The sequence below is a fragment of the Homo sapiens genome, chromosome 17, assembly GCF_000001405.40.
Source record: "Homo sapiens chromosome 17, GRCh38.p14 Primary Assembly".
NCBI classification, from domain to species: domain Eukaryota; kingdom Metazoa; phylum Chordata; class Mammalia; order Primates; family Hominidae; genus Homo; species Homo sapiens.
In genome coordinates, this window is record NC_000017.11 from 21,289,062 (window position 1) to 21,314,110 (window position 25,049).

Below are 25,049 nucleotides of genomic sequence, written 5' to 3' on the forward strand. Positions count from 1 at the left end.
GGTGGATAAACAGTAGCAGGGCTTCGTGACAATGTGCTCGTAGGCGCTGTGACATGAGGCCTCTTGGCTGTAGGGTCCTTTCACGCAGGCCAGAATTTACCAGGCTTTAGGGCCTCTTAACCCACTGGTCCCCAACGTGGGGCTGGGGACTGCCCCTGGCCTCCTGGGCCTCCCTTGGGAGGGTGAGTGGGGAACAGAGAGCTGGGGCCTGCTCCTGCAGGCCTGCCCTGCCCCTGGCTTTGGCATGCAGCATTAACAGGACGAATATGGGGAAGGTGGGGTGGGACTGGGAATTAGAACTCAGGCCCCTGGGCCAGCCCGGGAAGCAAGAGGGCCTGGGGTCATGGTTCTAGGGGCTCAGTCCTGAGTCAGGGGTGTTGGGGGGTGGTGGGCCAAGCTGAGGGGAGCAACTGGGTGCCAGTGTCTTGGGAGGGTCCCAGAGGAGGGCTGCTGGGCAGCAGCATGGAGGACACAGCATTGTGGCAGGGCCCCACGACTGATGCCCACATGCCGTCCACGCCTGCCCTTGTCCGCGCCTCCTGGCGCTGCCCACCTCCATCAGGCCTGTGTGCCCAGTGGCTTCTGCAGATGCCTCCCCGAAGCAGTGGCCCTGGAAACCTCAAACAGCCTCTTGCCAGGGGCATGAAGGCCATACAGGGCCAGGGGAGGCAGAAGCAGTTTGTTGGGCCCCTTGCAGCTTCCAGATACCAAGCCTGACTGCGGCAGCTCCAGAGAGGGCCCCAGACTTTCTTCCCCTGACCCCAGTCCTGGGCACATGTCCTTGTCACCTCCCTGCCCTGCACTCCAGGGCCACCTTCCCTGGTTTCTCTGGGGAGGCCATGTCCAGCTGTCCCTCTCCCAGCTGGTCCCCTGCCCAGGGTGGCCGGCACCACCTCCTGCCATGTGGCCCATGGCCGGGATTGCACCTGGCTCTGCTGACACCTCCTGGCGGCTATATCGAGTGCCCTGACTGTCCTTGCCTGCATCACTGTGCTGATGCCCCCAAGGGCTTCCAAGGCCCGTCCCAAGGTTTACATGTGCCAGTGTGTGCGGTGATGCGGTGACAGGCCAGGGGGCTGCCTCACTGGGGCAGGGCTGCGAGGGGCTGTGGATGCCAGCGGTGTGTTCAGACCTAATCAGGAGGTGTGTGGGGGCTGGGGAGCACTGCTGCCTGGGAGGGTTGCTTTGGCGGTGTCAGTTGGCAGCTGAGGCACACGTTGGAGGCCTGCCCAGGACGGCTCTGGGTATGGGGATGGAGACAGCTCCCATCCCCTTGTCATTCTGCTCTTGCCTGGCTTAGCCTTCTGGTCAACCCATAGCCTCCTGCCGTTGGCATGGCACACGGCATCCCGGATGGCTGGGGCAGACCCCAGGGTGGCGCGGGCAGACACTCGTTGGGAAAGTCTGCAGGGACTTCCAGGTGGCAGGGCTGGTTCTAGGCCAGCTCCCTACCTACCTCTCAGGGCTGCTGTTGAGGGTGAATGAGACCTGGCAAGTCCAGGGAGCCCCTAGGTACCAGACAGCACTGAATTTGAACCTGATGTCTGTGCTAGCATTTCCATCACCAAGAACCCCGTTTTTGGTATGTCTCATCATCAATCCCATGCTTTGTAAGATTTTAATAGTAATGATAAATCCCAGCCTTTGGGAGGCCGAGACAGGAGGATCATTTGAGGGCAGGAGTTCACAACCAGCCTGGGCAACATAGGGAGAGCTCATCTCTACAAAAAACATAAAAGATTAGCTGGGCATGGTGGCACACGTCTGTAGTCTCAGCTACTCAGGAGGCAGAGGTGGGAGGATCGTTTGTGCCTGGGAGGTTGAGGCTGCAATGAGTGCCACAGCACTCCAGCCTGGGTGACAGAGTGAGACCCTGTCTGTTTAAAAAAAATAGAAGTAGGCCAGGCACGGTGGCTCACGCCTGTAATCCCAGCACTTTGGGAGGCCGAGGCGGGTGGATCATGAGGTCAGGAGCTCGAGACCATCCTGTCTAACACGGTAAAACCCCGTCTCTACTAAAAACACACAAAAAATTAACCGGGCGTGGTGGCAGGTGTCTGTAGTCCCAGCTACTCGGGAGGCTGAGGCAGGAGAATGGCATGAACCCGGGAGGCGGAGCTTGCAGTGAGCCGGGATCGCACCACTGCACTCCAGCCTGGGCAATAGAGAGAGAATCGTCTCAAAAATAAATACAATACAATCAATACAATAGAATACAATACAATAGAATACAATACAATAGAATACAATACAATAGAATACAATAGAATACAGTACAATACAATACAACACAACACAACACAACACAACACAACACGTAGTGATAACAGTGAAGCACAGATGGCGTTTGTTCAGGTTTGTTTTCCGTTCTGCAGGAGCAGCAGCACTGGCCTGTCGACAGTGCAGGTGGCTGGCAATGGCCTTGCTGACCTCGAGCCGGGCCCACGTGGGGACCTTTGGAGCACAGCCTACGATCCTGGTGCAAGGAATGTCCCATTCTTCTGATGCTCTGGGAGGGCTGAGCATCACTTGTGGGTCCCCCTGCCCTGTCATGGCCTCTTAAAGCCTGAGCATGGGGCCTGCCCCACAGTGTGGGAGCCTGGGGCCAGAGTCCCACCGATCTGACCCCTTTTGTGCTGGGGATTTTGTGTGCATGGACTTGTTTGGTCTTCACGGCTACCCAGCAACCTGGGTGTGTTGTCATCAACCCCATCTTAGGAGTGAGTAAACTGAGGCCTGGTGGGATAGTGACCTGCTCAAGGTCACGAAGGACTGTCCTGGGAGCATGGCTTTGTCTTTACAACTCCGGACCCTTGCTCATCCTTTCCCAGAGGTCATGGCCCCTTCACCCGTTCATAGGACGTCAAAGGAGGAAACCGAGGCTTGCACAGAGAGGGAGTGTGGCTCGCCCCCAGGCTGGCACGGGCCGACGCTGTGGTGGTTTCTCCACTGAGGTGCGGGGAAGGCAGGAGCTGGGACCCAGGCTGGGGGCCTGACTCTGCTGCTGCCCTGGTGCGTCACCTCAGGCGTGTCCTGGGGCCCCTGGTGTCAGCATCTGCACTGGACAGTCTCTGGGGCACCCTCCAGCCTGAGCAGCCTGCTGCGGGGGCTGTACTGTGCTCAGTGAGCCTGGCTGCCCCTTCAGACAGAGGAGAGTGCTGGGGCTGGCTTCAAGCAGGCCTCTTTGTTTCTTCTTTTCTTTAAATTGCCTGCACTTGAGTAGCCTTTATCACACAGTGCAGGAATCTCAAAGGGACAAAAAGGCAGTCTCTTGTTTCTCCTCGGAATACTCTGCACACTCCAGCATTTTCTTTCCTTCTTCTTCTCATTTTTTTTTTTTGAGACAGTGTCTTGCTCTGTTGCCCAGTGGCACAGTCATGGCTCACCACAGCTCAGACGATCCTCCCACCTCAGCCTCCCAGGTAACTGGGACTACAGGCACGCACCACCACGCCCACTACATTTTTGTTTTGTTTTATTTTTTGTAGAGACAGGATTTTGTCATGTTGCCCAGGCTAGTATTGAACTCCTGAGCTCAAGGAATCCACCCACCTTGGCCTCCCAAAGTGCTGGGATTACAGGCATGTGCTAATTTTTGTATTTTTAGTAGAGACAGGGTTTCACCATGTTGGCCAGGCTGGTCTCAAACTCCTGACCTCAAGTAATCCTTCTGCCTTGGCCTCCCAAAGTGCTGGGATTACAGGCGTGAGCCACCTCACATGGTCTGACCGGCATTTTCTTTCTCACACTGCTGTACTCCTGCTGCTCTTGGCTCTTCCTGTCCCTGGGAGGCCACTCCTCGCATCCTGCTGAGGACCTGCAGGATCCTCACCAATTCCATGTGCCAGCCTTTTGATTCTATAAACCCTGGGCCTCAGTTTCCCCATCTGCAGCATGGAGATCACATTAGTACCTGCCTCAAGGGGTTGCTGAGAGGATCAAATGAGATGTAATGAAAGAAATTTGCATAGGCCAGGCACGCAGAGGACACCCCAGGACACCCCAGCACATAGTAGGTATTCACTAAATGTTAGTGGGTGTTGTAGTGTGGGGGTAAGCTGCTCAACGTGGAATTTCTGGATGCAGAAGAATGGGCATTTTGATGGCCATGGGGCATGGAGGACCCAGACCGGTGAGGTCTGGCCATGGGAGGCCAGGCTGCACCCTGATGCCCGCAGCCACCTGCTGTGGGCCCCCTGTCTTTCACGTGCCTTGTGCCCCAGCCACTCTGCCCGGGGTCCTCCCGTGTTGCCTCCTTCCCTCTCCAGCGAGGCCCGTGCCTCTGGCCCTTCCCTACGTCCTTCCCTCCAAAGCACAAGTGGTTCCATGTTGCAGGCGGGCCATGGTTGTCTCTGCTGGGCTGTTGGCATTGGGCGGGAGGACCCTCTGGCAGCCATGGTTGCCCCTGTGCAGCTGAGCATCTGGCCTCCCCACCGGATGTTAGGGGTGCTCCCGAGCCATGCTGGTCCGGAGCATCACCGGGGAGGGGGCGCTGCCAGGTGGATAGTCTGGGGATCCCCCGTTCTCTGCAGGTGAGGAAGTCCCTGTAGGGTAGAGAGGTGGGGAGGGTGTGAGGCCCTGGAGGCCAGGCCCTGGCCAGGTGGCCTTGCACAGCCGGGCAGAGGCAGGGCAGGGCTGTGGAGGGCAGAGCCTTGGTCACTCCTCCTCACCCTAGCCTGCTGCACACCTACAAGGTGAGGATAGAGAAGGTAGGGCCTGCAGTGGCCGTGTATGAGGCCAGATGGCACAGCCTGGGCCTGGCATGGAGCAGGCACTTGGTTAGATGGGAGAACCTTCCCCTTGTCCTGCATCCTCTCCAGAGCCCAGGACAGGGGCCCCAGAACCTCAGGGCAAGGGGCCCTGCCTGAAGGTGCATGGCCACCCCCTGCTGCCCACAGGTGCTTGGCAGTGGCGTCTGCAGTACCTCAGGACCTCTGATGGCACCTGTCCTGGGGAGAGGGGCCAGTGTCTGGCAGGTCGCAGCCAAACACATCCATCCACACCGTCGAGGTACATCTGCCCACGCAAAAGCCTGTGCCCACTTCTCGGGGCCTCAGTTTCCCCCGTGCCATGGAGCGCATTGGCCTTGTTGCTGTCCCTCTGAGGGACCCTGGGGAATAGAGGTGGCCTGGGGCAGGGCGGCGCCTCTTGCTGCTCACATCTCCCAGCCCTTGTGGCTCCTTCCCTGGCAGGCCCAGAACTTCTGCAGTAGAACAGGGACCTCCTGGAACATCCGGAAGTCAGGTGAGGGCAGTGAACTAGGAGCAGGGATTACTTCTGTTGTCAGAAACCTGGTGATGCTCCTGCATGTGGCATGGTGTGGGGCTGACTTTATGAGTGGAGGCGGAGCAGGGGCTGCAAGGAGGGGTTGTCATCTTGCCCCTGTGGGTGACCCTTAGAGGGTCACACAGCTTGGTCTCCCCAGGCCCAGGGTAGAGGGAGCAGCCGAAGTGGGGGCCCTGCCCTCAGGCTGTTGCTGTTTGGACGTTGGAGCCAGACAGACCTGCCTTTATGGCCACTCCTCACCAGACGCCCACCGTGTGGCCTCTCTAAGTCACCTCTTCTCCCGCATGCTTGATACAACAGATAAGTGAACCTCCCCTACTCCCTTGTGGAGTCACTGAGAGGGTGGACAGGGGTGGTCTGGGGCTGAGGGTGGTGTTCTCTTGGGAGCTGTGCACTTCCAGATGGCCCCATCTAATCTCCACGCGCCAGGCACTGCTATGGCATGACGCTGATAACCCGGGGAGGTTTGTCTGTAATCTCCACTTTACATATGTCCAGAGAGGTGAAGCCACTTGCCTGAGGGCACACAGCTAGGAAGGGGCAGAGTTGCAGTTGAGCCCAGGCCTTGGCTCCAGAGTGAGTGCTCACAGGTGACCTGCTGACTGGCTCTCTGAGATGGTAACTGCAGAACGGCCACCTGTGGGACTCCACAGCAGAGAAGCCATCAGGCCACAGGGAGAGCCGGTCACTGGGGCCTGCGCAGTCAGGCAGCCTCTCTGAACTGGTGAAAGGCAAGACGACGTAGTAGCTAGGACAGTCACAGGGAAGAGCATTTCAGGCAGAGGGAAGGGCATGTGTGAAGGCCCTGCGGTGGGAAAGCAGGTGTCTCATTCAGAGAAGGGCTCACTCAAGGGTCGGGGGCTCTAGTTGGGGGTGAGTGGGAGGAGATAGGGCAGAGCTGCCACGGCCAGTGAGAGTTGTGTTCTAGTCTGGGGGTGCCTCTCTTTACCTGTGGTGTAGCCTCAGGTCAGTGGCTGAATTCTGGTCAGTTTCAGTTTCCTTGCCCCTGCCTGGGGGCTGCTATGAGGCTGGAGTATGTGGAGGACACCCCAGGACACCCCGTGCTGAGAGCCGGGACAGGCGGGCTTATCGTGGGTTGCCAGTGGCCGCCGAGAGCCTCTGTTTGTTGTGGTGATGGTTGCCACAACGGCTGCACCTGGGCAGCCCTGGGCTGCCTGGCCATCTGGGCCCAGCTCTGACGTCTGCAGCAGCCTGAGGCCTGTTTCTAGGCTGTCTCCATGACGGCCTCACCCACTCCCTCTGACAGCTGGGTGGCTTCCCCATGGAGCCTGTGGCCCTCCTGATGCAGGCTTGGTGTCCCCAACAGGCCGGTGGATGCAGAGGCCAGTCCATATACCACCCAGGCCTGCGAGGAGCGTGGTCCCCACCCATCCAGCCCATATGTGCAAGTGCCCTTGACAGGTGGGGAAACTGAGGCTTGGTGAAGGGGGGGCCACATGATACAACATTCCCAAATCCCAAGGCATGAGGTGGGTGGCAGGCTGGGGCCAGAGGGACCAAGAGCAGAGAGAGTGCAGGGAGGGTGTGGCGTGGACCCCACAGGGAAAGGGTGGGACTCAAGGGGCTGGGGGCAAGGTCAAGGCCCAGGGTCTCTGTGCAGAGCTTTAATTTTTAACAGAAAATATTTTATATTCTGGTTACGAAAAGCCTGACATCAGGAATAAAAGCTACCTATAATTCTCATTACTTAGGGCAGTTTTTTTTTTCACCTCTGCAGAGAGGCTGGTCATATCCATGGTGACCATTTATGGGCCACAACAGGTCCCCATCTGCGCAGTGAACCCTGTGCTGAGCACCTTGCAGACGTGATCTTGCTTCGTCCTGCAGCACTGTGCGGGGCAGGTGGGTGGCATTTCTGCCTCGAGCTGTTTTGTACATGAGGAACCCAAGGTGCAGAGGAGGGCACCATGCCAGGGTCGCAGAGCTGGAGTTTACCACGGCTGCGCCACTCCAAGCCCAGAGCCTCAGAAGTTCAGAGACTTTGGCCCAGAGGCAGGATAGAAGTGGCCTCAGAAGCTGCTGGCCCTGTGTGCCATGGTTTTTCCTGTTAGAATGTGCTGAGCCTCTGCATCTCCAGACTCTGTTGCCGTTTCTTGTTGAGCACGAGACTTGGGCCCCTCCTTCCGCCTCAGGGAGGGCTCCCTGTGGCAGGGGTGCTGTGAGCCATGGCCTGGCCTGTTGGGGTCTGCGAGTCAATAAACTCAGGAGTGACTCCTGGCCAGACCCCTGACTTGCTGTGCAGCCTGGGGCAAGTGGCTTCACCTCTCTGAGCCTGTTCCCCAAGTAAAGTGAGGTTGGGAGCCCCTCCCTGTAGGGCTGTGGGAGTATCTGGAGTCACAGATGAGAAGGGCCCTGCCTGTGGCCGGTGCTGTGGCTGTGACAGACTCGCAGTGAGACCCATGCGGTCCCTGACAGCCAGGGTGTTGCTGCATCTTAAAATGAGATAAAAACGCTGCGCACAGGAGTAGTGACTAGGCGATTGATTCATGGGGTGAGCAGTTAGCAGGCAGGCACCCAGTGCATGTGGCGGCAGCTGCTGCTGCTGCTGCTGCTGCTGCTTCTGTCTGTGGACGCTGTTGTTTCCTGAAGCCTCTGGGGCCTGGCAGCGGGGTCCCCGGGGTGGCTTTGGTGGAAAGGCTGCAGGTATCTGCTTGCCTGGCTCCTGCACTCTGCCCACCTGCCCCAGGATGGACCCTGGGACCCCTGTCCCTGCCAAGGCTATTCTGTTTCCTGTTGTTCTGGCCTTGTCTTCCCAGTAGCGGTAACCACCCTTCGCCCTCCATCTGGGCTGGGTTGGCTGCTGGGCCCCGGTGCGTGGCTCTGAGATGGGGCCACAAGTCTGTGTTGCACCGTGGCCAAGGCTGGATCTGAACCTGGCTTGGAGGCGGCTTCAGAGACTGGGGTCTTCTTGGCAGGCGGCAGCAGGGCCATGGGCAGTTTCTAAGCCCCAGTACCAGCAGCCAGGGTGAGCCAGCAGCAGGGAGTGGCGGGTGGTGGGTGAGGGCCAAGATGTGGCAGGATCATGCTTGGGAAATGATGAGGCAGAAGCTCCCACAAGGGCAGGCATGTGGCCAGCATGTCTGTACTGGGTGGTCTCCGGGAGCCGTGTCACTCCCAGCCCTGCTGCCTGATGGTGCCAGAGCACCAGGTGACCCTGGCATCTCTGATCCTTGCTTCTCCTGCCTGTGGAATGGCGGCTATGCCTTATTCAAAGGGCGGCCCTGACTACAGGGAGCTCTCTCTGCATGCCAGCCCCACTGTGCCTGGAGCCCCAGAAATGCTGACCCTCCGTTAGTACCAGCTGAGTGCTGTGCACCTGGCCAGGCTCTTGTAGCCAGCCTGAGAGGTGTGGACACTGGGGCCTCTCGCCTGTCCCTAGGGGTGGAGTGAGGAAGGTACTGCCCCGGGACTCTGGCCTGCCTGGTGCAGGGGAGGGGAGAGAGCCAGCGCTTTTCAGGGGAGGGAGAGAAACGGGCATCGGGTGTCGGCCTCCAGGGTGAGCAGGGCCCAGCAGAGCTAGCCTGGAGGGCAGCCCGGGCTGGAGTCCCCGCCTGCTCCACCGCCTGTTGCCCTTTCTGGGGGCCTGGCCTTCCTCATCTTGGATGCAGTATGAGCCCCATCCTGCTACCTGCAGCTAATGAAGCCCCTGTACAGTGGCTGCTGCAGGTGCTGGCTGGACCCCCGCTGGGCCCCTTCTCACCCCACATCCCATTGACTAGTCAGGCAGGGCAGTGAGGACACCTCACAGATGGGGAAACTGAGGCCCAGGGAGGTACTCAAGATGTGCCCAGTGGGCAGGGCTGAGATAAGGCCCTGGAGTCCAGCCTCCAGGCCTGGGTCTGTCCTGCTCTGCTCCCCTGCAGGGCTGGTGGGCCTCCTTCCCCCTTTGAAGGCCTAACGGCCTGGCTTGGAGAGAGGGGGCTCCCGGCATGGGTGATGGCAGAGGCTGGCACCCTTGTGGGCCAGGGCCTGATGGCTCATGGGAGTGCAGGGGACATTGATGTCAAGGGATAGGCCAGACGCCTCACCTTCTCTCCATTCTAGGAAAATCCAAGAGGAAGAAGGATCTACGGATATCCTGCATGTCCAAGCCACCCGCACCCAACCCCACGTGAGTCTGCCTCAGTTTCTCCCTGGCTCACCCTGGAGAGGCTTCCCGAACAGGGCTCAATGGAAGGAGTGAGAGGCAGGTGGGGCCAGCCCTGCTTTACCTCGTCCTGTCCTGGGCAGCCCCTGCTGTGCATACAGCCAGGTGACGGCTGCTGGGGGTTCATGCAGCACCATTTGCTCTGCTCTGCTCACTTCTCACCCTGTCTTGGAGGCTCGATGAGGCCGTGCCCAGCTCAGTGTAGATGCTCAGCAGCCAGTGAGAGGAGGTGGCCGGAGAAGGCGCCTCCGGGGCAGGAGGCACCTCGTCCCCACGCCAGGCCCCACACTGGCCCATCTACTGCTGCACTTGGGGAAGGGTGTGGTTCTCTCTGAAGCTCACGGAGTCTTCTTTCTCCACAGACCCCCCCGGAACCTGGACTCCCGGACCTTCATCACCATTGGAGACAGAGTAGGTGCCAGCCGCCACCCCTGCAGGGCCTCTCACTTCACCTGACGAGCGGGTAGAGCTGACCCTGCAGGGCCACTTTGGGGGGAGGTGACTGAGGGGTCAGAGAGGGTCAGGCTCTGGAGAAGAGCCTCGTCCTGCGCTGCTGGCTGTGTGGCCCTGGGCCACCCACTCTTTGACCCTCCTGGTGGGAATGAGGACCATCGGCTGCCTGACTGGAGCTTGGCGAGCCCAGAGCTGGTAGGAAGGTTTCTGAGCTGAGAGCAAGGCCCTGCACCTCATCCTAGCCCTAGGGGAGAGTATTGAACATGCAGGCTCCTAGGCCGCCCTGGACCCGCTGGATCACTCCCTCAGGCCAGCACCTGGGCAACCTGCATTTTATGCTTCCAGAAGCCTCGGAAGGGCACTAGCCATTCAGAATCCTGGCTCAGGGACCGTGCTATGCCCCGTTCCTCCCAACAGAAACCCTACTCCCAGGCCAGGTGCAGTGGCTCACACCTGTAATCCCCACACTTTGGGAGGCCGTGGCAGGAGGATCACTTGAGCCTCGGAGCTCGGGACCAGGCCTGGGCAACATGGCGAAACCCTGTCTGTACAAAAATACAGAAAATTAGTCAGCGTGGTGGTGCGTGCCTGTGGCCCCAGCTACTTGAGAGTATGAGGTAGGAGGATTGCTTGAACCCAGGAGGTGGATGTTGCAGTGAGCCATGATCGTACCACTGCCCTCCAGCTTGGGTGACGGAGTGAGACCCCGTTTCAAAAAAAAAAAAAAAAAAGAGCTGGGCACGGTGGCTCACGCCTGTAAGCCCAGCACTTTGGGAGGCTGAGGCGGGTAGATCACCTGAGGTCAGGAGTTCAAGACCAGCCTAGCTAACGTGGTGAAACCCTGTCTCTACTAAAATACAAAAATTAGCCCGGTGTGGTGGCAGGCGCCTATAATCCCAGCTATTCAGGAGGCTGAGACAGGAGAATCGCTTGAACCCAGGAGGTGGAGGTTGCAGTGAGCCAAGATTACCCCATTGCATTCCAGCCTGGGTGACGAGAGTGACACTCTGTCTAAAAAAAATAAACCCCATTCCCTAGGCCTGTCCTTGACGATACTCCCTCCAGGCTGTCGCACTCCCTGACACTCACCATCTGCTGTCCTGTTCATCTACTTGCTTACTCCTTTTTGTGTCCCTCCCAAGAGAGGGAAACATCTGTGAAGGCAATACTTTTGTTTTGTTGTCACTGTGTCCCCAGTGCCTAAAACACATTGTGGATGCTTGGTAAACAGTTTCTGAATGAGTGACTCATTCTAGCCAGCTGAGTGGGGTCGGGAAAAGAGGGACAGGGCACCTCTTTCTCAGAGCTGTACCTGCTGGCGGGGCATTTTGTCTCAGTCACACTCCATAGCAGCCTTGGGGTGTTGGCACTGTGCCTGTTTTATAGAGGGCATCGTGAGGCTCAGAGAGGTTAAGTGACTTGCTGAGGGTCACACAGCAGGGAGCGGTGGATATGAGGTTTGAGCCCAGATCTAATCAGCTGGTCCTCTTCATGCTGCCCAGGTATCTCCACTGGGCATGGGGTGAGGACTGGCTTCCAGCTTGCTGGCCACTGACTCTCTTTTCCATCCTTCAAGAACTTTGAGGTGGAGGCTGATGACTTGGTGACCATCTCAGAACTGGGCCGTGGAGCCTATGGGGTGGTAGAGAAGGTGCGGCACGCCCAGAGCGGCACCATCATGGCCGTGAAGGTGAGCAGGGCCTGGAGGCAGCTGGGAGGGCTCCCTGGAGGAGGCGGGCTGAGCTCTGCCATGGGGCCCTGCCTATCCCTCTCAGTGATCAGTACCGAGGCTAGGCTTTTTGGGGCACACTGGGCAGTGGCCCCCTGAGCTCCTGGCCCTCCTGTCATGAGTGTGGGTGTTGGCCTCTGCCACGGCAACCTCTGAATGGCAGTCCTTCCCTGCAGCGGATCCGGGCCACCGTGAACTCACAGGAGCAGAAGCGGCTGCTCATGGACCTGGACATCAACATGCGCACGGTCGACTGTTTCTACACTGTCACCTTCTACGGGGCACTATTCAGAGAGGTGCGTCCTTGCATGATGCAGCTGGGGATCTCCACCTCCCACCCATCAGTCGCCTGCAACCCACTGTCACTCAGTCCCTCCAGTACGCCAGGTGCTGGGGACACCTGGCATACTGGCAGGAGGCTCCCCCGTCTCTTGGCTGTTACTGTCCTGCTCAGTGCCTCAGTTTCCTTGTCAGTCAAATGAGGCCGGTGGTTGTGGGTGCCTCCTAAAGTTGACACGGAAGGTAAACGACATGGCCTGGGGCCTGGCATTCAGCTGCACTCAGTTCTGTCTGTGTGACCATTCGCATCCCCATGGCATACAGGGCGTGGGAATGGCATATGGGGCGTGGGGTGCCCAAGCAGGCAACGGCCATGGAGATATGAGATCTGGATTCTGGGTTCTAGGTTTGTGGACAGGATGGGGTGTGTGCTGAGAGAGTGACTGAGGCTGGAAGAGTGGAGCTGCCTTCCGCCAAGCCGGGTGGGTGTGGGTGAGCAGGGAGGCCGGGAGCCTAGGCGATGCTGGGCTCATACTGGTCACTTGCCCCTCAAAGAGCTGTGGCAGGGTCAGGGCATCTGAGTCCAGCCATCGGGCAAGGTCAGGGCTGCTTCACCTGTCCTCACTCGTCACTCATGAAGAGCTCAGCATCCTCTGTGCCAGCCCCTAGCCGATGGGGCCCCTGCAGCCTGCGGGTGCCCCCTGCGCATCTCCCAACCTTCCTGTCAGGAGGGTCCTCAGGAGTTCACTGGGGAAGAGGGAGCAGGTCCTTGCAGGCAGGGAGCCATCTGCCAGGGTCAGCTGGCATGAGGGTGTCTGTCGGTCAGCAGGGCCGGCTGTTGCCATGGAGCTGGTGCAGGTGCATCCTGAAGCTCTGGTGGAGGGACCCAGCGAGGCTGTGTGCTAATCCTCTTCCTCCCTGGAGACACCTGGAATTAGGGATCAGATAGAGGAGGCTGGCGCCCGAACCTGGCAGTGCAGGCAGAGTTGGAGGGTGGGGGAAGCGGGCAAGTGGGTGGTGGGTGGGAGCCCGGTGAACTGTGGCTGAGTGGGTGGGCACACGTCGGAGAGGGGGCTGGGGCTGGGGCTGGTGCTGGGGCAGGCAGTGCAGGTGGTGCAGACACGGGCAGCCCGGCAGCCTGGCTGAGCTCTGGGTGTCACCCACAGGGAGACGTGTGGATCTGCATGGAGCTCATGGACACATCCTTGGACAAGTTCTACCGGAAGGTGCTGGATAAAAACATGACAATTCCAGAGGACATCCTTGGGGAGATTGCTGTGTCTGTGAGTGGCCTGGGTGGGCTGGCGGGGGGTCCTAGGTGCATAGGCAGAGGCCCAGCCCTGCCAGCAGGCATGGAGCCTGCCTATTGATGGTGTCTTGGGCAGAGCTGGGCATCAATGTGCCCCCTGAACCTGGGCAGCTGCCCTGCATAGGCCCTTCTCCTCCACCCCAGACCAGAGCCTTTGTGCTTAGGAGACCTCCGCTCCTGGGGCTCCTGGAGCCCCACAGATTTGGCAGATCCAGGTGTCTGAGCCATTGATTCCAACTCTTGAGTTCCAGATCATTTTTTAAAAAAGGAATTTAGTATTTACAACAGCGTCATACTAAAAATGCCCCGGGGCAGCTCACAGAGGTACAAGCTAAGTTGGGGGAAAGGTTAGCATCCAAAATGTGTGCTTTTTGAGTCTAAAAAGTCCTTGAGGGAGGGCAGCAACACTGGGCTTGAGCATTCCAGTAGCCAAAGGAAAAAGGAAAATAGAACCAGTGAGACTGGTTCAATCCTCACTGCATCTGGAAACATTTACAATATACCCCTGCCTCAGGCTCCCCACCCAGCCTTCCCAAGGGAAATGGCTCCAAGCTGCTAGAATACTGGCTCTGCCACGGGAGGGGAGATGGGACAGGGAGGCTGCCAAGAGCTGGGTTTTACCCAAGAAGAGTGTGGCAGGCAGTGATGATGCCTCCCTGGGAGGTGAGCCCGGGAGGATGAGAGGAGGCAGGAGGCCGAGTGTGTCTGCACCAGGATTGTTAGGATGCTGGGGCAAATGCCAGGACAGGGCAGGAGGCTGGGATGAGAGGGTGCGTAGCCTGTGCAGCGGGAGCGGGAGACAGGTGGACATGGATGGGGTCTTACTGCTCTGTCGTTTTTGACGTGACCAGGAATAACAGAGTCCTGTCTCTTCCCTCCTCCCCACCCCACCGCCAGATCGTGCGGGCCCTGGAGCATCTGCACAGCAAGCTGTCGGTGATCCACAGAGGTCAGTGCCCGGCAGCCACCCAGGCACGGTGTAGCCAGTGGGAGGGATCCCAGGCCAAGGCGGGTGGACGTCTCCCTATGAGCAACTGTGGCTCCGAGAGGTGATAGGTTGTGACGTGCCCGATGGGGTTCCAGCCGCTTTCCACCTGCAGCCCTGCAGCTGCCTCCCCTCAGGTTTGCTGGTGCTCGAAGCAAGGACTGGCTTGACTTCTGTCCTGAGAAAGGTGGACTGGGTTCTGTTCTGATGTATAGTTTACAAATCGTGAAACTCCAGCATAGAGTGCATATAATCATGTTCACACCCATGCAACCACCTCCCTCCAAGATGCAGGACAATTCTCTCACCCCCTCCCAGAATGTTCTCTTGGGCTCCTTCCCTGCCATCCCCCATGTGCCTAAGGCACCCACAAGTCTGGTTTTCCCACAGTGGGTTGGTTTCGCCCTTTCTGGAACATCAGCCTCGCTTGATGTTTCTGGACCCACCTGGGTCTGGTGTGGTCTCAGTTTGTTCCTTTTTGCTGCTGAGCACAAGTCTATTTTTCCAGATTTACTGCTTTTCAAAAAATGAATTAGGCTTAGTTCCCATTGTCCACTGGGTGCCCATCCCAGCCCCCCAGGTCACTGTGGTTGGCGGTTGGCACGGAACCTTCTGGTCCTTTTTATGTGCATTTCCATCTTTACACACATCCCCATGGAGGGCACGGGGATGTGAGTGTCCTATGCGCATTTGTATGGAGAATCCCTGCTGGGCTGCTCTCCCATGCTGGTCTGTGGGGACTCCATGTCCAAACACGCAGATCCTGCCTCCCAGGCTTTAATTGATCCTGCTGCCCTCTGGGAGCACCCACACAAGCCAGGCTCTCACTGGACCTCATGTCTGGAGGGCGGATGCAGGCACGGTGCTCCCAGCAAAGCACCTGGAGTCCTGCCTTCCTTGCAGTGGCCGGGCCGGGCTGGGCACGTCCTGGCTGTTCCCTGAGGACCAAGTATGACTCTCAGCTGGCCCGGCACCTCTTGCAGCCTCAGTTCCCTGGTCTGACCCTTGGGACCCTGGTGCAACCTGCCCACTGGGGCATGGGAGGGGGCACAGGAGGGGTCTTGGGCGAGGGAGGGGGGCACAGCTATGCAGAGCATGGCACCTGCCTCCAGTCGTGCTCCACAGACGTGGCTGAGGCATGTCCCTCCCTGGCAGATGTGAAGCCCTCCAATGTCCTTATCAACAAGGAGGGCCATGTGAAGATGTGTGACTTTGGCATCAGTGGCTACTTGGTGGACTCTGTGGCCAAGACGATGGATGCCGGCTGCAAGCCCTACATGGCCGTGAGTGGTCCCCAAGCCCCCCAGGCTCAGGAGAGGATGGGGCGGGGAGAAATCTGCCCAGGCTGGCCACCCCGGCCATACCCTCTGTCCGTAGGGGCAGAGCCTCCCCACACTGCGTTTCCTGCTGTAGTGGGGCCACCTGTGTCTTGCTGCCCAGGGGCAGCCCTTCTGTACCCCGTTGTTAACTGACCCCCACAGTGCCCCAGTTGGGTGATAAGCTCATGGACCACCTCTGCGGAGGACACTGGTGGGCTGTGCAGGTCCCGCCCCGCCCTCATTGTCAGGAGGGCCTTAGGGGCCTGCTCCCGGGTAGGGTCAGACCGATGCAAGGGTTGGGCCTTCTAAGCATGACCCAGGCCCTCCTAGCCTCAGTTTCCTCCCCCGTCACATGGGCAGGTGGGCTAAGCTGAGCGCTCAGTTTGGGGATTGGGAGGCAAGGCCTAGCCATGGGGGCTTACCTGGGGCGGGTGTTCACGCCTCACTCTTCCCTCCTGCAGCCTGAGAGGATCAACCCAGAGCTGAACCAGAAGGGCTACAATGTCAAGTCCGACGTCTGGAGCCTGGGCATCACCATGGTACTGTGGGGGGCCAGGGCCTGCCCTTGGTGGTCAGGTGGGGTGGGTGGAGCCGTGCCTGGGGCCCTGAGCTTTTGGGGGACTCATCAAATAGTTTAGGTTCTGGAAAGAAGTATTGGCTTCAAAATCTGAGAAGAAAATGTGCCATCAGAAATTACCATCTATTTAAGGGAACCTCCTAGGGTCAGGGTCACTCATCGTGAAGTCCTGGGTGCTTTGTGATATGGTGGCCACAGGGCTTTCTCTGGAGTTCTTGGTGCTTGTTGAGAAATCACAGCCAATCCCAAATTACGTAAGTTCCTGGTATGTAAATCATGCAAAAGCAAGATGGTAAAGATCTTTTCAAAAATATTTCATAGCAGAAGGTTTGTTGTCGGTGGCGTCCTGGTACATTGCGGTGGGGTGGTAGAAAGGGTGGGCGGGCTCTCAATCCTGGGCCTGTGGAAGCCAAAGGCATCCCTGGCTTGGGTAGGGTGAGGGCAGATGTGGCAGAAGTCCGAAGTCCAGGTGTAGGGATGGGCCCAGAGCAGTTGCTTCTGGAGTTGCCTGGCAGAACCCCATGCCTTCCGTGTTGGGGCTCAGGTCAAGGTGTGGGTGAGCCCGCTCTGGCTCCCCTGTGGACAGTGGATTGGAGGGATGGGAAGACCACCAGGATGTGTCCCCCAGCCAGGGCTAGGAAGCTGTGCAGGAGACGCGTGGAAGGACGATGCCATCAGCAGGTCGGGCTCAGGCTGGTGGCCTTGGCCAGTTGAGTGGCTTGGGACCAATGGAGTGTCCTGGGCGTCAGCTCCTTCCCTGCCCAGGGAAGCCTGGCCCAGGACATTCCTGCTTGTCCCTAGTCCCTTTGACTGTTTGGTGTTGGGGATGAGGCCGTCAGATAGAATCAGTAAGATGTGGTGAGAAGCGCTGGCGGGGTGTTTTCCAACACCGCAACCCATTCTCGGATTCTCCAGACACCCACCCAGTGCCCTGCAGTTCCGTTCGGTTCTGATGCTACCTGGAGTTCGCACAGACCCCACAGGTTAAGGGCTCTGTCCCACCAGACTGCCCCCAACATCACACACCAGTTGGAAGTAGCGGGTCTCCCATACTACTGGACTGACCAGCTACAAATTGGGGGTCCCCATGACCCTCTCGTAAGGTTTGATAATTTCCTAGAATGGCTCACAAAACTCAGGGAAACACTTTATTTGTGTTTACTGGTTTATCAGAAAGGATATAACTCAGGGCCAACCAGATGGAAGAGACTCACGGGGGAGGGGTGTGAGTGTGGGGTGCAGAGCTGCCGTGCCCTCTCAGGGCCTGGCACCCTCCTGGTACCTCCCTGTGCTTGCGAACCTACAGGCTTCTCAAGCTCATGGAATTTTGTTGTTTTTGACACAGAGTCTCACTTTGTCACCCAGGCTGGAATGCAGTGGCACAATCTTAGCTCACCGTAACCTCTGCCTCCTGGGTTCAAGCGATTCTTGTGCCTCAGCCTCCCGAGTAGCTGGGATTACAGGCACCACCATGCCCAGCTGATTTTTGTATTTTTAGTGGAGATGGGGTTTTGCCATGTTGGCGAGGCTGGTCTTGAACTCCTGACCTCAAGTGATCTGCCCGCCTCAGACTCGCAAAGTGCTGTGATTACAGGCATGAGCCACCACGCCCAGCCTCACATGGAGAGGTTTTTTGTGAGAGAGGGTCTCACTCTGTTGCTCAGGCTGGAGTGCAGTGGTATCATCGCAGCTCACTGCAGCCTTGAACTCCCAGGCTCAAGCCATCCCCCTACCTCAGTCTCCTGAGTAGCTGGAACTACAGGTGTGTGCCCCTATGCCCAGCTACTTTTTTAATGTTTTGTAGAAAAGGGGTCTCACTATGTTGCCCAGGCTGGTCTTGAAATCCTGGGCTCAAGCAATCTGCCTACCTCGGCCTCCCAAAGTGCTGGGATTATAGGCACAAGCTACTGCACCCACTGAAAGTTTTTATAGAGCACAGTCTCCAGGCCCCCCTCCTCTCAGCATCAGTTGGCGGGTGATGCTGAGAGTTCCCACCCTCTATAATCAGCTGGGTTTTCTGGGGAGCAGCCCCATCTGAGGCTGTCTAGGGGCCTTACCCTGAGTCACCTCATTAGCATAAACTCAGGCTCCTTGTGGATAACAAAGCCACTCCTGTCACTCAGGAAATTCCAAGGGTTTTAGGAGCTCCATGCCAGGAACAAAGACCAAATAAATTCCTTTTTATGCCACGGGGGTGGAGAAGACTGGAGCAGGTAGGGGTGGCTCTGGGGACAGGTGGAAGGCCACTGTTGCAGATGCGGAGGCCTCTGCAAGGAGGGCACCCTGCTGACCTGAGGGCAGGGTAGACCAGGGGGTGCAAGTGCAAAGGCCCTGAGGTGGGGCTGTGCCTGCTGTGTGCCTGGGTGGCTGGGTCAGAGGAGAGGGAGGGAGGGTTGGGAGCGAGCGAAGAGAAGTGTCTGGTGGGTAGAGAGTTGACGCAGGTGTTGTGGGTTTTACTGGTGTTGCTGCTACCATTGTTATCATCATCATGTGGTTATAACTTTATTTATTTTTAATTTTTATTTTTTTGAGATGGAGTCTCACTCTGTTGCCCAGGCTGGAGTGCAATGGGACGATCTCGGCTTACTGCAACCTCCGCCTCCTAGGTTCAAGTGATTCTCCTGTCTCAGCCTCCTGAGTAACTGGGATTACAGGCTCGTGCCACCATGCCCGGCTATCTTTTTTTTTTTTTTTTTTTTTTTTTTTTGAGACGGAGTTGCACTCTGTTGCCTAGCCTGGAGTGCAATGGCATGATCTCAGCTCACTGCAACCTCTGCCTCTCGCGTTCAGGCAATTCTCCTGTCTCAGCCTCCCCAGTAGCTGGGATTATAGGCGTGAGCCACCACACCTGGCAAATTTTTGTATTTTTAAAAAAGACGGGGTTTCACCATGTTGGCCAGGCTGGTCTCAAACTCCTGACCTCAGGTGATCTGCCTGCCTCTGCCTCCCAAAGTGCTAGGATTACAGGGGTGAGCCACTGTGCCTGGCCTTTTTTTTTTTTGAGGGAGTCTCACTCTGTCGACCAGGCTAGAATGCAATGGCACAATCTCAGTTCACTGCAACCTCCGCCTCCCAGGTTCAAGCAATTCTCTTGCCTCAGCCTCTCAAGTAGCTAGGATTACAGGCATTTGCCACCATGCCCGGCTAATTTTTGTATTTTTAGTAGAGACGGGGTTTTGCCATGTTGGCCAGGCTGGTCTCAAACTCCTGACCTCAGGTGATCCACCTGCCTCAGCCTCCCAAAGTGTTGGGATTACAGGCGTGAACCACCACGCCCAGCCTTGAGCCACTGCGCCTGGCCTGTGGCTGTAACTTTATAAATAGTGTATCTGTAGACAGTGACTGGGAAAGACTCAAAGTCGAAATAATTTTGTCAGAGAGGTGGGACTGGGCCATACCTTCAATTTTCTTTAATTGGTGACATGTAATTTTTCAATTAAAATTTTTTTTTTTTGAGGTGGAGAGGAATATTCAGGCTGAAGGCAGGTGCTGTATCTGCAATAACAGTTTTCCAAGTCCTAAGTTTGATGCAAAGGACAAGTTCTTGCTGTATTTAGACTGCACAGAACTGGTTGGATATTAGAGACCCTGCTCATGACTACCTCACACATACACACACCCTATGTCCCTTCCCCATCTCCCTGTCTCCCTTCCAGTTGTCCATCCATCATGATTGTTGGGGCCACCATGGCTAGTGGCCTTCTGATATGGCTGGTGGAACTTGGACAAGTGTGTGCTAAGTGTATATTTCAGTTATCAAATATTGCATAGCAAACCACCCTAGAACCTAGTGACCCAAACCAACAGCGGTTTCTTATTTCTCATGTTTCCACCACTGTGGCTGGGCTCAGCTGGATGGCTCTTCTGCTGTACCTGGGATTGGCTGGGGTCATGGCTGGGCTGGGCTGGTCTGGAAGGCCCAAGACGGCCTCACAAACATGGGCCTCCTCTGCCTGGCCTCTCCATGCAACTTACTCACATTGGCCTGCTCCCTGGGCTTCAGAGCATGGCAGTGTCAGCAGAGTTGGAGTTCTTTCATGATGGCTGGCATCTAAAAGGAAGTTCTCTGAAGTGCTAGGCCTGGAACTGGCACAGCATCACTTCTGCCTCATTGTGTTGGTCAGCGAGTCACAGGCCAGCCCAGGTTCAAGGGCAGGGAATGCTCCCGGCTTAATGGAGGATCAGCAGGTGCACACAGCGGGAGGCGGAGGTGGTCACTTTAGGCACAGGTTAGGTTTTTCTTTCACAAGTTACAAACGTAGTGGAAACCTAACATAAAAATAGAGGCACAGTAAGGGGAAAATGACTGTAGTTATTCTACCTAGAGACACCTCTTACCCCGTTTCAGTGCCAACATTGTGCATTATATTATATATATAATATTTTTATTACATATAATAAAATACGTTTTATTAAAATTTAGAGAAATACAAACAATATGTAATGCTTCTCTTTTTTTGTTGTTGAAACAGAGCCTCGCTCTGTCACCCATGCTGGAGCGCGGTGGTGCGATCTCGGCTTACTGCAACCTCCGCCTCCCAGGTTCAAGTGATTCTCCTGCCTCAGGCTCCCGAGTAGCTGGGACTACAGGCGTGCGCCACCATGCCTGGCTAATTTTTGTATTTTTAGTAGAGATGGGGTTTCACCATATTGGCTAGGCAGGTCTCAAACTCGTGATCCACCCACCTTGGCCTTCCAAAGTGCTGGGATTACAGGTGTGAGCCACTGCGCCTGGCCTCGTAATGCTTCTTTTTAAAAAACTTTTTAAAAAAAATTTTGTAGCATTACATGTTGTTCATATTTGTCTCTCTCTCTCTGTTTTTTTTGTTTTTTGTTTTTTTTGTTGTTTTTTTTTTTAGATGTAGTTTTGCTCTTGGTGCCCAGGCTGCAGTGCAGTGGTGCAATCTCGGCTCACCACAACCTCTGCCTCCTAGGTTCAAGTGATTCTCCTGCCTCACTCAATCTCCCAAGTAGCTGGGATTACAGGTGTGCACCACCACATCCAGCTAATTTTGTGTTTTTAGTAGAGATGGGGTTTCTCCATGTTGGTCAGACTGGTCTCGAACCCCCGACCTCAAGTGATCTGCCTGCCTCGGCCTCCCAAAGTGCTTGGATTATAGGTGTGAGCCACCGCACCTGGCCAATTTCTCTAAATTATAATAGACTCCTGTATGTATCCCTTCCAAAGACTCCATAACCATCTGCCACCATTCAGTCACCCTGTCTGCTGATGTGGGTTGTTTCCCTTGTTCCTGCTGTTTTCCTTCCATTTCAAATTCTCAGCCATCCTGGGGGAGCGACTGATGAAACAGAGTCGGGAGAGTCCCCCTGGGTGGGGCTCTGGCCTCGGCCTCCCCCCATCCTGCAAGGGCCCCAGAGCTCTCTTGGCGTTGGCTTTTTCCCACTCACTGCACAAGCCTCAGGATGCCAGTGGGAATCACCCAGAACAGACAGGGGTCATGCCGGGGATGGCCCTTGGCCAGGAGCAAGTGCTGACTGGGTGCTGGCCTGTTAGTGTTGTCGCTGGGGAGTCACAGGGGTGCGACTACGGTCCTGGCTGGGTCTCCGCCCCCATGGTGGGGCCGGCCCCTGGCGCTGGACATTCAGGCTGTTTCTTAGTATTTCCTGGCAGAAAACACCATATGGCACATCTTCGTGTCTGGAGGCTATTTTTGTTGTTTTTCATTTTTTGAGCTCTTTAGAAAAAATAAAGGAGTACGAGGTTGAAGGTTTGGACACTTCTGCTTTTCTAATTATAACTCTCATGGCCGCTGGTCCTTCTCCTGTAGCTCGTATGGGGTACTTGCTCTACATATTGCAGTCAGTGAAAATTCTAAGAGAAAAGCCCCCCAAATCGGTACGGTTTTGTCCTGTGAACACGCATGCACACATGCACACACACGCAGTGGGCCCTGCCTGTGTGGGTGTGTTTGTCTGAGCTGGAAAGGGCCTCTAGCCTGATGGGAGGCACAGTCTCAGCACAGTCCTTAGGGTCTTGTCCGGGCTCCAGTTGCCAGTGCCAAGTGTTTGTGCTGAGGTCTCTTCCGTTCATCATGGTGATGACGGCCGGCAGTGAGGGCCCTTGTGCTGGAGCCTCGGAATTCTCTGTTCTTCCAGGCCGGGGCCAGGGCTGACATAACTTGTTTTTTCCATCCAGTCATCATGATTGGAGCCCAGAGTTGGTTGTAAGCTAGCTAGTCCGTCCCTTCCATGATGACTTCCTGCCAACCACAGGGCTGGGAGCTTGGAGCGAGGACAGAGACCCACCGGCCCGATGTCACCCACAGGAAATCTGGATCCAGCAGGGCACATGTGGCCACACAGGCCACTTGTCTAGGAGGGAAACTGCTGGGGCCCTGCAGAAGATGAGGCTGCAGGCTCACGGGTGCAGAGGCGAAGCAGCCTCATGGTCTCACACTCTGTCCGCGGCCTTGGAGACAGCTGTGTGTGTGTGTGTGTGTGTGTGTGTGTGTGTGTGTGTGTGTGTAGCATTTCCCATGTGCCTCCTCTGTGAAAACAGCCCAAATTAATGACAGCAGATGCTGAAGTCTGAGATGGTCAGATGTTAGGAAGGGGATTGGCTGTGACCACCTGGGACCTGCCCACCTGGCTCATGAGGCTACGGCCCAAAGTTGCCAGCTCCTCAGATTTTTCCAGAGCAGCTGGAACCTGCATTGTTTTGTAAAATCTTCAGAATTCAGGTTTTCTGAAAACCCTATGATGGTCCCACCAGTCCCGGTGTGGGCTGAATCTGCTTCCTGAGCTGGGTCCTGCTGGCTGGGTCGGAGGAGCTAAGAGCTGGCATCCCCGGCTTTCTCGCCTTTGTTCTGCTGGGATGTGGTAGGGAGATCAGCTGTGCAGCTTTGACGCCTGGCTCTGGTACCAGGATGGGTGGGAGCCCCCAACCCTCGCTCCTGGGTGCAGAGCGTGGTTGTATCTGGGGCCGGGGCCTCTGACCCCCTGTCCCCGCTGCAGATTGAGATGGCCATCCTGCGGTTCCCTTACGAGTCCTGGGGGACCCCGTTCCAGCAGCTGAAGCAGGTGGTGGAGGAGCCGTCCCCCCAGCTCCCAGCCGACCGTTTCTCCCCCGAGTTTGTGGACTTCACTGCTCAGTGGTGAGTCTTGGGTGCTGCTGAGCGCCTGCCACTGCCCCTCCCTGGCCAGATCCCTGCACCTTCCTGGGCCCTGTTCCTTTATTCCTTTGGCAAATAAACCCCCAGATGACTTGGCATCCAAATATGTAAGGCAGAAACAGCTGGAGCATGAGGAGCATTTGACAAAACGATGGTCTTGGTGGGAGATTTTAATACAGTTCTTCCAGAAGTGGACAAATCAGATAGACTGAAAAAGAGAACAAAGTATATGGAAAATTTGAACACAAAAAACAAGTTTGCTTTTATTGATATCTAGAACTTTGTACCAAATTAAAGAATGCCCCATAGGAGCCTTATAAAAATCATGTTTGAGAGGCTGGGCACGGTGGCTCACGCCTGTAATCCCAGCACTTTGGGAGGCCGAGGCAGGCGGATCCCGAGGTCAGGAGTTTGAGACCAGCCTGACCAACATGGTGAAACCCCGACTCTACTAAAAATAGGAAAATTAGCCGGGCGTGGTGGCGCATGCCTATAATCCCAGCTACTCAGGAGGCTGAAGCAGGAGAGTCGCTTGAACCCGGGAGCCGGAGGTTGCAGTGAGCCTGAGCCGAGATCATGCCACTGCACTCCAGCATGGGTGACAGAGTGAGACTGTCTCAAAAAAAAAAAAAAATCATGTTTGAGGTTACAGAAGGAATAAGGAAGAGGGCAACTTCTCTGAACTTAATTAAATAGAGCAAGAATTGGGTAAGGAAGAAGCGGCCGGGTGCGGTGGCTCACACCCATGGTCCCCGCACTTTTATTGTTGACCATAATCAGCAACAGAGGAGCCCAGCAGAGTCCCTGGGCAGTCTGACCCCTTTAATTGTGGACTAACTTCTCCCAGAACCCATGATAAGGAGTTTCTCTCCTGATTGAGGATACCAAGTGTGTGACTGTTAGGCAGAGCATTGCAGCCCCATTTTGGTGTTGATATGGAAATTCCTAGGTCACTATGCAGACAAGAAAACCAGGACCCCAGGAGCCAGAGAAACTTGCTGCAAGTCTCTAGTTTGCTCCTATGAATGCCCCTCCACCCTGGAAGAAGCCCTAGACAGTCCTGTCCCTTCTTCCCTGGGTGCACGTGTCCCCTGCTGCTAGGCCTGGGGCAATCCTGGGGTGGTTTGGCTGGCCCTTGGGGGCTGGGCTTCCTCCCTGCCAGCCTGGCCACAGCTGCACTATTCTCTCCTAGCCTGAGGAAGAACCCCGCAGAGCGTATGAGCTACCTGGAGCTGATGGTGAGTATGGGCGGGAGGTGCCTGCCCTGCTCTTCAGGGCTGGCTGGGGCTGGGTGGGGCTCTGGGGAGAGGGCTGCATCCTGCACACAGATGGGTAGCTCCTCTGGCTGGCCCTGTGTTCTCTCCTTTAGGTGCTCGGTCATTTGTTTGCTCCTGCATACCTGGCTCCCTCCTCCCTCCTTCCTGCATGCCAGGCCCTGGGAAGGGTACACAGGCAGTGTGTGACAGAATGGGGCAGAGGGGCCAAGGGTGGCATCAGGGAAGGCTTCATGGAGGAGGTACCATTTGAACTGAGCCTGGAAGGATGAATAAGGGTTATCTCCTGATGGAGAGGCTGTCCCAAGCAGAAGGTCCAGCATGGGCAGAGGCCTGACGTGTGGGGGGAAAGGGAGGTTAGTGTGGCTGGAGAGTGACCACAAGAGAGCTGAGGAGGAGCCACAGATGCCATCTGTGACAGTCATGGAGGGCCTCCTGGGGGTGGAGGTCCTAGAAGGATGAGTAGGATTTTGCCAGTCAGGAGAACACTTGGGCTGGAGCTGGTTGGGGAAGAGTGGCCACCTCTCCCTCCCGCTA

General features: G+C 56.6%; 1 protein-coding gene across 9 annotated transcripts in view, besides 5 other annotated features; it reads left to right on the forward strand.

Annotated features, from left to right (window-relative positions):
* MAP2K3 (mitogen-activated protein kinase kinase 3) overlaps positions 1–25,049 on the forward strand; it is a 30,530-nt gene that overhangs the window by 4,351 nt on the left and 1,130 nt on the right. For 3 of the 9 annotated variants that reach the window (XM_017024857.3, NM_145109.3, NM_002756.4), the window contains exons 2-11: positions 9,352–9,418; positions 9,817–9,865; positions 11,484–11,597; positions 11,813–11,932; positions 13,082–13,198; positions 14,122–14,173; positions 15,365–15,492; positions 15,990–16,067; positions 23,081–23,220; positions 24,431–24,476. In XM_017024857.3, the coding sequence (XP_016880346.2) occupies positions 9,352–9,418; positions 9,817–9,865; positions 11,484–11,597; positions 11,813–11,932; positions 13,082–13,198; positions 14,122–14,173; positions 15,365–15,492; positions 15,990–16,067; positions 23,081–23,220; positions 24,431–24,476 (911 nt within the window). Of the gene's footprint in view, positions 1–6,613; positions 6,709–7,024; positions 7,150–9,351; positions 9,419–9,816; positions 9,866–11,483; positions 11,598–11,812; positions 11,933–13,081; positions 13,199–14,121; positions 14,174–15,364; positions 15,493–15,989; positions 16,068–23,080; positions 23,221–24,430; positions 24,477–25,049 lie in introns of those variants that run through there. The other 6 variants (XM_017024859.2, XM_011523959.3, XM_047436408.1 and 3 more) reach the window with 4 other exon arrangements.
* Positions 7,672–8,211: an enhancer, noted in NCBI's record as "H3K4me1 hESC enhancer chr17:21200045-21200584 (GRCh37/hg19 assembly coordinates)". NCBI's record gives its function as "activates a minimal SCP1, AML or CMV promoter by ChIP-STARR-seq in primed H9 embryonic stem cells {active_cell/tissue: H9 hESC(primed)}" and the evidence as "EXISTENCE:reporter gene assay evidence [ECO:0000049][PMID:30033119]".
* Positions 8,372–8,873: an enhancer, noted in NCBI's record as "H3K4me1 hESC enhancer chr17:21200745-21201246 (GRCh37/hg19 assembly coordinates)". NCBI's record gives its function as "activates a minimal SCP1, AML or CMV promoter by ChIP-STARR-seq in primed H9 embryonic stem cells {active_cell/tissue: H9 hESC(primed)}" and the evidence as "EXISTENCE:reporter gene assay evidence [ECO:0000049][PMID:30033119]".
* Positions 8,874–9,373: an enhancer, noted in NCBI's record as "H3K4me1 hESC enhancer chr17:21201247-21201746 (GRCh37/hg19 assembly coordinates)". NCBI's record gives its function as "activates a minimal SCP1, AML or CMV promoter by ChIP-STARR-seq in primed H9 embryonic stem cells {active_cell/tissue: H9 hESC(primed)}" and the evidence as "EXISTENCE:reporter gene assay evidence [ECO:0000049][PMID:30033119]".
* Positions 20,102–20,601: an enhancer, noted in NCBI's record as "H3K27ac hESC enhancer chr17:21212475-21212974 (GRCh37/hg19 assembly coordinates)". NCBI's record gives its function as "activates a minimal SCP1, AML or CMV promoter by ChIP-STARR-seq in primed H9 embryonic stem cells {active_cell/tissue: H9 hESC(primed)}" and the evidence as "EXISTENCE:reporter gene assay evidence [ECO:0000049][PMID:30033119]".
* Positions 22,926–23,543: an enhancer, noted in NCBI's record as "H3K4me1 hESC enhancer chr17:21215299-21215916 (GRCh37/hg19 assembly coordinates)". NCBI's record gives its function as "activates a minimal SCP1, AML or CMV promoter by ChIP-STARR-seq in naive H9 embryonic stem cells {active_cell/tissue: H9 hESC(naive)}" and the evidence as "EXISTENCE:reporter gene assay evidence [ECO:0000049][PMID:30033119]".